Source organism: Homo sapiens, chromosome 2 (genome assembly GCF_000001405.40).
Source record: "Homo sapiens chromosome 2, GRCh38.p14 Primary Assembly".
In the NCBI taxonomy this organism is placed as follows: domain Eukaryota; kingdom Metazoa; phylum Chordata; class Mammalia; order Primates; family Hominidae; genus Homo; species Homo sapiens.
Genome location: NC_000002.12, coordinates 21070554 through 21085858, shown reverse-complemented (window position 1 = coordinate 21085858; position 15305 = coordinate 21070554). Strand labels below are relative to the sequence as shown.

Genomic DNA, 15305 nt, shown 5'->3' with positions numbered 1-15305 from the left:
AATACACAGTTTACTTGATAACATGTACCAAAAAAAAATGCTCTTATAGAAGCCACTAAGGAAATTACAGCAAAATTTTAAATATGTATATATAAACTACTTAACTAAGCACAATATGTTAAAATTAGAAATTTTTTTAAAAAAGAACCCAGACAGCTAGATATTTTATGTCACTTCTAAATAATTCATTGGATAAGGAAATAACAAAATTGAAGTTTCAAATTATTTTGGAATGAATGAAAATGAAAGCACTCCTGTCCTATACAGACTCTGTATAGTCAACTTCACCCAATATCTGCTCAATAAATGCTGCTGAAGAAAGGGAAAAGATTAGCGATGATCTTAATCATAACTAAAATACTATGTTCATTATCCTCTGATGAGGATGCCCTCATTATGGAAAAATTTCTTTTGGAATGACAAAAATTATTTTAAAATGCTCTTCTTAAAAAGAATAGCTACATAGAAAGCAACTATCTAGGATAACTCAGTTACTAAAGAGTCCAGGAGAGTTTAGAACTTTGTGAAGCTTTGCAATAGTTTATTGTACGCCAGCATTTCAAATCTTTTTTTAAACAAATAAATAGTAAAGTAACTAAAAGAATAATGGAGTTAAATTTAGGCATAAACTCTAAACATAAAAGCAATGTACTATATGAAAGGTCTTTGAAATAAAACAGGATGGAGAGAAGGTGATTCTAATACAATTTTGTCTCCAGGGACATATATCATCAAACTCCTCCAGTATAAGTGCTTTTCTATTATATTCTTATATCTTATTCATTTGTGTGTATTCAGAGTGTTTTATTCTAAGACTCTATCTATGGCTGAGTAAACTTCTTGGTATCTATAGGCTTTATATTTTATGGAATATTTGTATATAAATGTTTTCATCAAATTACTAAATCAGTGACAATTTATGGAACATGAAGAGCTGAATTAATAAATTCACTGAAGCAGAAGGAAAAGGCTTCATTGATCTTGAGCTCTTAAATATCAAGCTTTATGCATTCTGAACTGATTCCATTTCTAATGGAAAAAATTATAAGTACATAAAAAATAAAGATAGGTTTATATCAAGGAGTTAGAGAAGACGAGGCTTAGGAGATAATTTGAAGCCTATTGGTATAGGGACTTGAAAACTTTAGTTTGAGTCGGACCTCAGAGATTATCCGATGTTCAATTAACCCCTTAACCTTACACTAAAAGGAACAATGCCTCAAGAATCCTTCTAATATCTTATAACCCCTTCCTGGATAATGAGCACAAAATAGCATTCATAATGAGGAATCTGGCCTATAGTCAGCGGGTAACCACTGGGGATTCTGAATTGAATTAAAAGAATGACACAGTCATAATCACATCTCTTGTGGTGAGTTTAGGATCAGTAAGGCTAAGGAGATCCTTGAAGCCAGTTCAAAGTCTCTTGTAATCTGTCAGATTCTAGGAATAAAAGCCAAGACGAGAAAATGTCAAGCAACTAAATATCCCTCTCTTAACATTCTGTACCTTTGAAAAAACACTTTTATTTTTATTTATGTATTTATTTATTTATTCGTTTATATTGAGACGGAGTTTTGCTCTTGTTGCCCAGGCTGGAGTGCAATGGAGAGATCTTGGCTCACTGCAACCTCCACCTCCCAGGTTCAAGCGATTCTCCTGTTTAGTTTTTTATTGTTATTATTATAATCATTATACTAAAAGAAATTTAGGATCCAATAGTGTTCTATATTGAATGACAAGAGGAAAATTGTCATTGTTGTCATTATTGAAGAATTCCCCCAATGGAGAAAAATTACTTCGTAGGAAGAACATGGGTTTTGTAATCAGAGACCATGTTCAAATACCAACTCAGCCACTTGCCAGCTAACCTTGATATTTCACCTGTCTTAGTGGAGGCTGTCGTCCATGACAGCCTTCAGTACTGTGGTGTGTGATGTTATCCTGAGGCTCAAGCTGGTACTACTACCTTCCTCCTTGGGAGAACAGTAGGGAAAGGGTGAACCTGGGAGTCCTAGCTTCATCATTAGTGTATATTCCTTCAGTTGCATTATTATTTGTTTTGGGTTTTGAGACCGCTATTTTGTGGGGCTCTGAGTATCCTCTGATATTCACCCAAAAGGCAAGCTTCAGCCAAATTTTACAGTGTACTAGGAACACATCACTCAGTTCCAAACCAGTTTCAGTTTCCCTAATCTCACCTCTGAGCTCAACTCCCCCAGAACAATGTGGGCAATAACAGGGTAAAACTAGAACCTCCTTTTCTCAAGTTATTTCCTAAAAGTTCCCCCTGATGCCTTCCCTTTCCAATTCACCACTTCCTACCTATATAAGTCCCCAGCACTCTTCTGCTTCCCCATGAATCCTCATGGGTTTGTGTGTGTATGTGTGACTTTCTGAGTATGGTTTCTTAAGGGGAGTTCCTTCAACCCCTTCCTCTCTTCTGTCCATCTCAAGATTTTGGCTTAGGGAAGGAGTCATTAGGCAATACTAGTTTGACATTTTATCTTTTTAGAGATGAGGAAGCTGAAGAACAAATACACTTTAGGGGCTAGGCTAAAGTCACATATTTCATAAATGGGAGAGTTAGGATTTGACCTCAGTCACCCTCATTCTAGGGCCTTTGCATTTTAGCATGCTGCTATGGGGATATTAAATAATTTGAAATTAGAAAACTAGATCAACAAAATAGAATTGATAGTCCAGAAGATGATCAGTATATATAAGGATTTTTTATGCAATAAAAGCAGCATTTCAAATCAATGTTGAAAATTGATTTGTCAATAAATGGCATTAGTAAAAATTACTAAGGTTCAAACTTTCACTACTATTGATGCCAAAATAAACTTCAGATGAATCCAAGAAATAAATGTAAAAAAATGAAATCATAGAAGAACTAGAAGAAAACACAGAATAAATTTTTTTAGTAGAGAAGACTACGTAAGATAAAAAATTTGTATGTCTTCTGAACATCACTTCTACTCCTGGGACTATATCCTACCAATCGACTTACACATAACCACAAAGATAGGTATACTGGCTGTTTATTGAAGCATCTTTTAAAAATTGTTGTTGCTTTTCTTTAACAGAGAAGGACTTGATACAACTTAAAAGTGTTTTATGGGGCATAGGGGTTTGTTGAATAAATAGTCACAACAAGATTTTACATATATGCAATAATATAAAATATAGCCATTCAAAAAGTAACGTAGATGTATACCTGCTCATATTATATCAAAGACAATATTTTGTACCAAGTTCAGAAGTTGTCAGTCATTTTTAATCATTAGCTTGAAAAAGGGAGAAATGAAATCAAACCCTAACAATAAAACATATCTATGTATTGGGGGTTAGTTATCAAGGTTGGTAAGTGTGTGGGGAGGGGATTGTTGGTGAGAGAATAAATCAGTTCAGCTTCTTTGGAGTGGAAGGCAATGTGATAATATCTGCCATCACTTACTAGTTTTGTGATGCTGAGCTTTATTTTCTTCACAGGCAAATTGGAAATACTAAAACCTACTTCCTAGTTTTGTTTTAAAATTAAATGAGGCACAGTGCCTAGCACATAGTTGGTATTTAATAAATATTAACTCCTGTCTTAGCTCAGAATGCCATAACAAAATACCATAGACTAGATGGCTTAAAAGAAAGAAGTTTATTTCTCACAGTTATGGAGTCGGGTGAACTCCAAGATTAAGGTGCTGGTAAGGTAGGTTTCATTCTGAGTTCTCCTCTTGTGGCTTGTAGGTGGCCGCCATCACACCATGTGCTCACATGACTTCTTCTTTGTATACATATGTGCAGGAAGAGAGAGACAGCAAGCAAGCTCCCTGATGTCTCTTCTTACAGGGCTCCACCCACACAACCTCATCTAATCCTAATTACCTTCCAAAGGCCCCATTTTCCAAATTCCATCACGTTGGGAGTTAGGGCCTCAATATATAAATGGCAGAGGGGTTGAGGCATAAACATTGAACCTGTAACATTCCACCCCTGGACTCCAAAAATTCATTTTCTTCTCATATGCAAAATATATACTCGCTCCATTCCAATAGCCCTAAAGTCTTAACTCATTGTAGCATCAGTTCTTAAGTCTGAAGTCTCATCTAAATAGTATCTAAATCAAATATGGGTAACACTTGAGGTATAATTCATCCTGAAGCAAAAAAAAAAATCCTTTCTAGTGATGAGCCTGTGAAACCAGACACATTACATGCTTCCAAATTACAATGGTGGGGCAGGCATAGGATAGGCATTCCCATTCCAAAAGGGAGAATACAAAAGAAGAAAGGGTGATAGCAAGTCCAAACTTAGCAAGACAAATTCCATTAGGTCTTAAAGTTCAAGAATTATCCGCTTTGCTTTGATGTTCTGCCCTTTCGAGGTGCATTGGAGTGGCATTGTCACCCCCCAGCTCTGTGGGTGGCCCAACCCCTTCAGTTCTGTGGGGGTAGCCTTATTACCTCAGCTGAGGGTAGGGGGAAGCTCCATCCATTGAATTCTCAGAAAGTCCCCATCCATGATCTGCTGGGCACAGCACTACCCTTTGAAACTGAGGTGGAGGCAGCCTGTCCCACTGGGCCCGGACCATGGTGAGAGTGGCAGTCCTAAGGACTTCTGAATCATCCTTGGGTTCCTTCTCTGTTCTTGAAAGGTAGCACACGTTCAAAGCGAAATACTCTATGGTTTCATCCTGTAAAATCCAAAAAGTCTGACAGCCTTCCTCCATTCTCTACTACCTTTTCTGTCTCCTTTACTTCAAACTGGCAGTATCTCTGATGGCATAATCCAATCTGTATTCCCAGCCTCTGTTGAGATGGCTGATTAAGTCCATGAGTTGCACCCATGATCTTTTTCAAATGGTTGTTTAGCCACACCCTTAGTGTTCTCTTCAGAACAAGCTTTCTTCTTCTTTGCAATAATGTTAGGTTGAGAATTTTCCAAAATGTTTTGCTTAAAAATTCATTCTTCAATTCATGTTTCTCTTTTTGCATTTTATTATAAGCAGTCAGAATAAACTAGGCTTCTCCTTCAAACACTTTGCTTAGCAATCTCCTCAGCTAAATATCCAGTTTCATTGCTTACAAGTTTTACCTCACACAAAACACCAGAACGTAGTTCAGCCAAGTACTTTGCCACTTTATAACAAGAATTGCGTTTCTTCCAGTTTCCAATAACATGTTCCCTATTTCCATGCCAGAACCACCCTTAATGTTTATATTTCTAGCATGCAACTCAAAACTCTTCTGGCCTCATCTACACTCCCACCAACAGGGTAAAAGCATTCCTGTTTCTCCACATCCTCTCCAGCATCTGTTGTTGCCTGACTTTTTAATGATCACCATTCTAATTGGTGTGAGATGGTATCTCATTGTGGTTTTGATTTGCATTTCTCTAATGACCAGCGATGATGAGCTTTTTTTCATGTTTATTGGCCACATAAATGTCTTTTTTTGAGAAGTGTCTGTTCATATCCTTCACCCACTTGTTGATGGGGTTGTTTTTTTTTTCTTGTAAATTTGTTTAAGCTCTTTGTAGATTCTGGATATTAGCCCTTTGTCAGATGGATAGATTGCAAAAATTTTCTCCCATTCTGTAGGTTGCCTGTTCATTCTGATGATAGTTTCTTTTGCTGTCAGAAGCTCTTTAGTTTAATTAGATTCCATTTGTCAATTTTGGCTTTTGTTGCCATTGCTTTTGGTGTTTTAGTCAAGAAGTCTTTGCCCATGCCTATGTCCTGAATGGTATTGCCCAGGTTTTCTTGTAGAATTTTTATGGCTTTAGGTCTTACATTTAAGTCTTTAATCCATCTTGAGTTAATTTTTGTCTAAGATGTAAGGAAGGGGTCCAGTTTCAGTTTTCTGCATATGGATAGCCAGTTTTCCCAACACCATTTATTAAATAGGGAATCCTTTCCCCATTGCCTGTTTTTGTCAGGTTTGTCAAAGACCAGATGGTTGTAGATGTGTGACATTATTTCTGAGGCCTCTGTTCTCTTCCATAGGTCTATATATCTGTTTTGGTACCAGTACCATGCTGTTTTGGTTACTGTAGCCCTACAGTATAGTTTGAAGTCAGGTAGCAAGATACCTCCAGCTTTGTTCTTTTTGCTTAGGATTGTCTTGGCTATACTGGCTCTTTTTTGATTCCATATGAAATTTAAAGTAGTTTTTTCTAATTCTGTGAAGAAAATCAATGGTAGCTTGATGGGGATAGCATTGAATCTATAAATTACATTGGGCAGTATGGCCATGAATGACAGTGTGGCGATTCCTCAAGGATCTAGAACCAGAAATACCTTTTGACCCAGCAATTCCATTGCTGGGTATATACCCAAAGGATTATAAATCATTCTACTATAAAGACATGTATGTTTATTGCAGCACTGTTCACAATAGCAAAGACTTGAAACCAACCCAAATGTCCATCAGTGATAGACTGGATGAAGAAAATGTGGCACATATACACCATGGAATACTATGCAGCCATAAAAAAGGATGAGTTCATGTCCTTTGCAGGGACATGGATGAAGCTGGAAACAATCATTCTTAGCAAACTAGCACAGGAACAGAAAACCAAACACCGCATATTCTCACTCATAAGTGGGAGGTGAACAATGAGAACACACGGACACAGGGAGGTGAACATCACACACCTGGGCCTGTCAGGGGGTTGGGGGATAAGGGAGGGATAGCATTAGGGAAATACCTACTGTAGATAATGGGTTGATGGGTGCAGCAAACCACCATGGCACGTGTATACCTATGTCACAAATCTGCATGTTTTGCACATGTATCCCAGAACTTAAAGTATAATAAAAAAGGGGGGTATTTTGGCCGCTTTGATCACTTACACTTGCGATTCCAGCACTTTAGGAGGCTGAGGCTAGAAGATCGCTTGAGAACAGGAGTTCAAGATTAGCTTGGGCAACATAGCAAAACCCTGTGTCTACAAAAATAAAAATAATCAAACAAACAAACAACAAAAAAAAACTTTTCTGGCCTCTACCCATTACCCATTGCCCAGTTTCAAAGCTGCTTCCACATGTTTAGTTATGGTTACAGTAGCACCCTGCTTCTCAGTACCAAAATATGTCTTAATCTGCTCAGGCTGCCGTAAAAAATTATGAGTTGTGTGGTTCAAACAACAGACATTTATTTTCTCACAATCTGGAGGCTGAAAGTCCAAGATCAAGATGCTGGCAGGGTCAAGTTCTAGTGAGGGCTCTCTTCCTGGCTTGCAGATGGCTACCTTCTTATTATGTGTTCACATGACCTCTTTTGCAAGCATGGAAGGAGAAAGAACAAGCTCTCTCACATCTCTTTTTATAAGGGCACTAATCCCATCACGAGCACCCCACCCTCATGGCCCCACCTAACTTTACCACCCAAAGGCCCATATCCAAATATCATCACACTGGGGGGTTAAGTCTTCAATATATGACTTCTGGGGGAGACACAAACATTCAGTCCATAACACCTCTACATGCATAAGCACAACTCTGGGGAAGAAAAAAACACTAGCTCAGACTTCAGTTTCTGTTGGAGCAGATGTTAAGGGATAGATTCCAGGATTTTATGTTTAAACTGGGATTTAATTTTTACATCAGAGGATATATTCCAGGAGATATATATATATATATATTCCAGGATATATTCCAGGATATAAGCCTTAAGGCAGAAGCATGATCATCCTACCAGGCATGTAGCAGGTTTATTATCCCCAACAGAGGTTTGGAAAGAAACCATTTCCTCATTGATCTATTTCAGAGACAATAAAGAATTCAGGAAAGGGGTTGGGGTAATGGGGATCAAAGCCAAGTGGGTCTTGGTCACAGGATAGTTTACATAATGCTTAGCTAAAATTTCTCTTAGACTTTTTTGGCAAACCATCCAGAAGATGGAAACACAGCAGGGATCTTATAGACATCCACCTTCATTCTGGTCTGATTTCAGTTGCCGTAGTAATATGGAGAATATTTTATTAAAAAGACTTTAGAGAATTTTCTATTCTTCTTGATAGAATTCTTTCTATTAAAAAGACTTTAGAGAATTTTCTATCCTTTAAAAATATAATTCTATTAAAAGCCTTTAGAGATTTTTAATTAGAAAGACTTTCTATTTAAAAGATGGCTTTAATTCTCAAATTCCAAATTGTTTTCTAAATAGTTATTCCGAACCTCACTACTCTCCTCAAAACCTCTCCCTTCAGCAAATCCCCTGGACTCCTATGTCATGGAGAAATTGAAGTTATCAAGCATACTCTCCACCAGCATCTTGCTTCCTGTCAGCTTTTTTATTGTACATTCCAGTCCACATGTTCATTCATATCTATACCCTGGACTCATTCCCCAATATCTAGGAAGACAAGGTAAACCTTAAGGTATTTCAGAACCAGTAGCTACACCTAACCCACTCCCTTCTGACTCCTTTGCCACTTCTTCATCCACCGTCTCCTTCTTTTCTCTAATATCAAACTCTTTCTTCCCACTGGCTTCTTCTCTTCAGCCTATAAACACCCTCAAGTTGGGCCCATGACAAAAATATCCCCTCTCAACTCCATAACTCATTCTAGCTACTGTTCATCTTATCACCAAACTTTACCTAGAGTATTTTTTTAGTATAATAATCAATCCAATTGATAACTCTTGCGGGCATTTTTAAATTCACTTTTATTGAACCAGAGAAGCTTTAAGCAATCACCCTAAAAGAAATACTCAAAACCATAAAAAAAAACCTGAAAAAAAATTTAAAAACCAAATAAGTACGTTTTGCAGGATTGCAGGATTGCAGGATAGGAGGTCAATACATAAAAATCAATTTTATTTCTAGACACTAACAATGAGCAATCTAAAAATGAAATTAAAAAAATGTTATTTTTAATAGCACTAAAGGATAAAATATGTAGAAATAAATTTACCAAAAGGAGTATAATATTTGTATATTGAAAACTCTGAAGCATATTTGAAAGAAATTAAAGAAGCCTAAATAAATGGAATGAGTTAAGACTTAATACTGTTAAGATAGCCAAACTTTCCAAACTGATCTGGAGATTCCAGGGAATCTACTTTAAAATTTTATTTGCTTATTTGCAGGAATTTAAAAGCTGATCTTAAAAATCATATAGAAATGCAAAGAAACCGGAATAGTCAATCTTGAAAAAGAACAATGGAGTTGGAGGACTCACACTGCCTGATTTCAAAACTTACTACAAAGCTATCATAATCAAGACAGTGTGGTATTGGCATAAGAGTAGACACATAGATCAGCAGGATAAAATGAGAGTCCAGAGATAAACCCTCACATTTATGGTTAAGTGATTTTTTGACAAGAGTGTCACAAGATTCAATGGGGAAAGAAGAGTCTTTTCAACAAGCGATGCTGGTACAATTGCATATTCGAATGCAAAGAATGAAGTTGGAACTTTAAGTTTCAGCCCTGCATGTTAAGAGCTTGGAAGTCATCACTCCCGATCTTACAATAAGAGGAAAAAAAAGAATAAACTAAAAGTCAATCACTTTGCTCAGATCCATCAGGGAACTGAGGTTTCAGGGCAGTCATTCCAAAATCTGGACAGGTAGTCGAACCCAGAGAGTCACTCAGATCTGCTTACCTGGAGAAGGAATCACTATTGCCATAAATTGATAGGAAAATTAAAATGGTAACTTTGACAAATTGCTGGACGCTAAGTGTGGACTAGCCTGAGAGTGAGAAACCCATGGAGGCCTCAGTCATACAAGGCAGCACTACACGTTCATGGGCTTTACCTCTAGGAACCCCACCAGGTTTTCACAGTGAGAGCTAAGAAAACTCTCATGGCTCTAGCAGGTGGTAGAAAAAGTTCCCATTTTGAAATAACTCTAGAACATGCACCATAACCAAGGCCTACTTTGCAGGGAAAAGATTTTACCAGAGCCTTACCCCACCTGGGGAAAGTATATTTTCCTGCCTCCAGCCCCCTATACACTTCCTGTCTTATCAAAGTGAAGGGAGCTATGAAACACTTGTGAAGTTCTCGTGCCAGGGACCCAGGCACACTAAAACATTGATATTTAACCATAAAATTGTAGACTGTTTTCCCTCCCTGACTTTACCAGCCCATCAATAGGGCTCTAATATAAAGATATTCAAAATGGAAAATTACAGACCAATATCTCTCATGAACATAGAAGCAAAAATCCTTTAAAAATATTAACAAATCAAATTCAATGATGTATAAAAAAGAATTACAAATCATGACCAAGTGGGATTTATTCCAGGTATTCAAATCCAATTCAACATTAAATCAATATAACCCATCACAACACTGAATATAACCTAACACCTCAGCTAGCTAAGGAAGAAAAAACATGATGATACCAATTAATGCAGAAAAAGCACTTAACAAACTCCAAAAGCAATTCTTGATAAAAACTCTCAACAAAATAAAAATAAAGATGAACTTTCTCAACTTGAAAAAGAACAGCTACCAAAAGAAAGAAAAAAAAATGTTAACATCATACTGAAAAACTGAATTTTTTTCCCATAAAATTGTATACACAGCAAGAATGTCTCTCACTATTCCTACTCAATGTTGTACTGGAAGTCCTAGCTAAAAAACCTATCTGCATGCACAGATGATATGATTATCCATGTAGAAGATCCCAAATAATCACCAAAACAATTTCCTGGAACTAAAAAGTGATTATATCAAGTTTGCAGATTACATGACTGATATACAAAAGTTGATGCTTTTTTTATATACTGATAAAATGCTATTTATAATAACACTGAAAAATGAAATAAATCTAACAAAATACGTATAGGGTCACCATGCAAAAAACTTCAACATTCTGATTAAAAAAAATCAAGGATCTAAATGAATGCAGACATAGTCCATAATTATGGATTGGCAGACTTAATATTGTCAGTTTTTCATAAATTGATTTATAGATTCAATATTAACCCAATAAAAATCACAGCAAGCTACATTATGGGTACCAACAAACTGACTCTAAAGTTTATACGAAAAAGCAAAAGACCCTGAATACCAAACACAATATTAAAGAAGAATAAAGTCAAAGGACTGAAATTTCCCAGCTTCAAGACTTACTATGATGCTACAGCAATTAAAACAGTGTGGTACTCGAGAAAGAATAGACACATAAATCACTGGAATGGCATACAGAGCCTAGAAATAAACCCACACAAATAGTCAAGTCTTCTGTGACAAAGAAGCAAAGGCAATTCCATGGAGAAAGAATCATCCTTTCAACAAATGTGCAGGAACAATTGGAAGTCTACATGTAAAAATGTAAAACAAGACATAGGCTGCGAGCAGTGGCTCATGCTGTAACCTCAGCAGTTTGGGAGGCTGAGGTGGGCAGATCACTTGAGATCAGGAGTTCAAGACCAGCCTGGCCAACATGGTGAAACCCTGTCTCTACTAAAAATACAAAAATTAGCTAGGGGTGGTGGTGAGTGCCTATAATCCCAGCTACTTGGGAGGCTGAGGCAGGAGAATCTCTTGAACCCAAGAGATGGAGGTTGCAGTGAGCCAAGATCATGCCACTGCACTCCAGCCTGGGCAGCAGAAAGAGAATTCATCTTAAAAAAATAAAATAAAACAAGACATAAACCTTAAACATTTTTAAAAAATTAACTCAATATGGATTAGACATAAATGTAAAACACAAAACTATGAAACTTCCAAAAGAAAATATAGAAGAAAATGATAGGTTGAACTTCATTAAAATTAAAAGTTTCTTCTTTGCAAAAGACCTTTTAAGAGGATGAAGAACCATTCACAGACTGGGAAACAATATTTGCAAAACACATATCCCTAGCCCAGTCTAAAGGCATATATCCCTACTCTAATCATAATAAAAACATCAGTTAAATCCCAACAGAAGGACACTTTATGATGTCCTACCACTACTCCTCAATACTGTTGAGGTCATTAAAAGCAAGAAAAGCCAGAGAAACTGTCACAGCCAAAGAAGCCTAGGGAGACATGATGACCAAATGTAGTGTGGTATCCATGATGAGATCCCAGAACAAAAAAAAAAAAGCAGATTATATAAAACTTAGAAAAATCTGAATAAATTATGGACTTCAGTTAATAATAATTTATCACTGTTGGTTCATTAGTTGTAACAAATATACCACACTAATAGGGGAAACGTAGCATATATGGGAAATCTTTGTACTATCTTCTCAATTTTTTCTGTAAATCTAAAATTTCTAAAAAGTAAAGTTTATTTTTTTAAAGTAAAGTTGGACCACTTTCTCACACCATGCCAAAAAAAAATACTCAAAATGGATCATAGACCTTCATGTAAAAGTTAAAACTATAAAGCTTTTAGAAAAAAATATAGAAGTAAATCTGTGTAACCTTGGTTTCTTAGTGGTTTCCTAAAAATGACAATAAAAGCATAAGTGACAAAAGGAAAAACGACATAAATAGGACTTCATCAAAATTATAAAACATTTGTGCTTCAAAACATAAGATAAAGAAAGTAAGAGGACAAACCAAAGGATGGAAGAAAATATTTGCAAATCATATATCTGGTAAAGGACTTGTAGCCGTAATAAAAAATTATTACAACTCAAGGATGAAATGACAACCCAGTTTAAAACTGGACAAAGGACACGAACAGATATTTCTCAAAGAAGATTTACAAATTGCCTATAAGCACTCAAAAAGATGCTTGACATCATTAACCATCAGGAAAATACAAATTGAAACCACAATGAGATATTAATTCATATTCACTGGAATGACCGTAATTGAAAAGACAGATAATGTGGATGTGGAGAAGCTGGAACCCTGCTTCATTGCTGATGGGAATGTAAGATAGTGTAGCTGCTTTGGAAAACAGTCTGCATTATAGAACAAATGTCCTTCTCTGTATTTTTACCCCCACTTCCCTATCTAGCCTGGAGTCCTGCAGTGGCTCTGACTGTCCTCCTGCAGTATTATCCAATAATTTACTTAAGACCTCCACTGATACACAGGCATGGTGGCAGTAGAAATCCAGTCTATCAGCTTGTCTCTCCAAATCTGATCATGACCATCCTTCTTCCTTGTGAGGAGTGACTTGTCTTGTATCCTATAGATCAGGGGTCCCCAAGCCCAGGCCACAGACGAGTACCACTCTCTGGTCTGTTAGGTTCCAGGCCACATAGCAGGAGGTAAGTGGCAGGCAAGCCAGCATTATGGCCTGAACTCTGCCCCCTGCCAGACCAGCAGCGGATTACATTCTCATAGGAGCATGAACCCTGTTGTGAACTGTTCATGCTAGGGGTCTAGGTTGTGCACTCCTTATGAGAATCTAATGCCTGATGATCTAAGGTGGAACAGTTTCATCTTGAAACTATCACCCCCACACCCCAGTCCCATCTCACTCCCGATCCCCATCCGTGGAAAAACTGTCTTCCACAAAACCAGTCCCTGGTGTCAAAAAGGTTGGGAACCACTGTTACAGATGAACTAGAAGTTCATATGTGATGATAATTCTTAAAACAAGCCCTCTTATTCTTCAATTGCCTTGCACAGAATAGGGTGGAAGTGCTGGAAGTTCTTGCCTTTTGGATTCATTTATGTTTTACTTGTCTTTGAAATTCCATAGAAAATTTATGTAGAATTGTATTTCATTTCTTTGTACGAGTATATGTATACATTTGCGTATATTTATATTTAGAAAGTAATTATTCATGGAGGAGAGAGGAAAAGGTCACATTCTAATTCTGTTACCTATTCATGTTTCAGGGCCCACATCTAATGCCACTTACTCTTACTGCATGAAGACTTTCCTGATCCTTCTAGCCAGGTGTCTTTTTTTGTCTTATTAAACCTCCAAACTGCTTTGCACATCTTTTTCCTTGCTTGCTTGGTTTCATTTATTTTAGGAATTCATAATGTTATTAACCTTAATGTAAACTCTTTTACTAGCAACTGATTAGATAGAATATATGTAAGCTGTCTAATACTTAGACACTTAACATAAATGATTGTATTATTGTATAATTTATAAATATAAAATATATTTATATTTATAAAATATAATTATATAAATATTGTATAATGTAAGTGATTGTACTATTGTATAATTTTATCTTCATATCTTATTGCTCTAATTTCAATAGAAGCTCTTTAAGAATGAGAACTGTGTTTCGCTTTTCTGTACTGTTTGAGAATAGCTTAAAAAGCAGTGCTGAGTGAATGAATGAATGAATGAACCCGCTTAAGATTGTCTTTGTAGTGACAAGGGAGCCGTTGGAGGGGCTACTACAGTTCCAGTTGTTATCATTGCCCTAACAGCATTATCTTGGTCCTGGACATCGTCCTCCAAGGAAGGAGGGTGGTAGAGTGGAGAGTGGTCCAGAAAATGGGAAGCCTGGTGTTTGGTCTTGAAACTGCCACCAGGTAGCTGCGTGACCTTGGAGGGCTCCACTCTCTCTGAGCCTTACATAGCCATAAAATGAACGTTCCTTTCAGTTCTAACGTTCTAGGATTCTTGAAACTACTGGTCCTTATTACAAGAAAGAAACAAAGTACCAAAATAAACTTGGGATTGAGCAAATGACTGTTTCTGTTCTCACACCCCAGTAATAGCCAGCACCTCACTGAATGCCTACTATACGCAGACACTGTTTTAAGTGCGTCACTTCTATTGACTTATTTATTCCTATAGATAAGACTTTTATTCCATTTTCATATGAAACATATAAAAGCTATGTGACTTACATGCTTGTTGGCAGAGCCAATTTTAGATCCAGACACTCTGGCTCTAGAGGCTGTGCTCTTCATCTCACTGTTTCTCCAGGGCATACGAGTGGCGCCAGCCTTCTCTTCTGTCCCCAGAGCCCCTGGCCTTAATTTCATCACCATACATCTCATGAAAAGATCAAACCCTTGTTTCAGTATGAAGTGATAATTCCAAAAGATGTTGTGAGAGAACACAGTCCCCCGGAAAGCAAAGAGATATTTGCTGATGACTTCACTTGGGGCAAGGGCCTTCGTTTTATTTGACATTACGGGTGCTGAATTGGGAAACCAAAGTGTGGAAAGGCTTCTGACCTGACTTTTGGAAAGAATGTGGCTCTTTTCTCAAACCCTCATCAAACACGAGGTGGAAAGGTGAGCCCTGTCATTGCAACATCACCTGTTTTCCTTCTGCCCAGAAGGTTCTGCTTCATTTGATATTAGGGAAGTCTTCCTCTATTTGTCAGTTCTTCCTCAGGAACTGTAAATCCAGGAGCCATGAGGGCACTGCTTCCCCTTTCTCTACCACAGCTCAGAAGGATATCAGCTAGGAAAAGCCT

The 15305-nt window shown here is 37.1% G+C and overlaps 1 long non-coding RNA gene across 2 annotated transcripts in view; it reads right to left on the bottom strand.

The window, feature by feature from the left end:
- Positions 1 to 15305, bottom strand: part of LOC124905593 (uncharacterized) — a 27037-nt gene extending 11732 nt beyond the window's left edge. For both annotated transcript variants that reach the window (XR_007088660.1, XR_007088659.1), the window contains exon 1: positions 14728 to 15305. This is a non-coding gene — a long non-coding RNA (uncharacterized LOC124905593). The remainder of the gene's footprint in view (positions 1 to 14727) is intronic.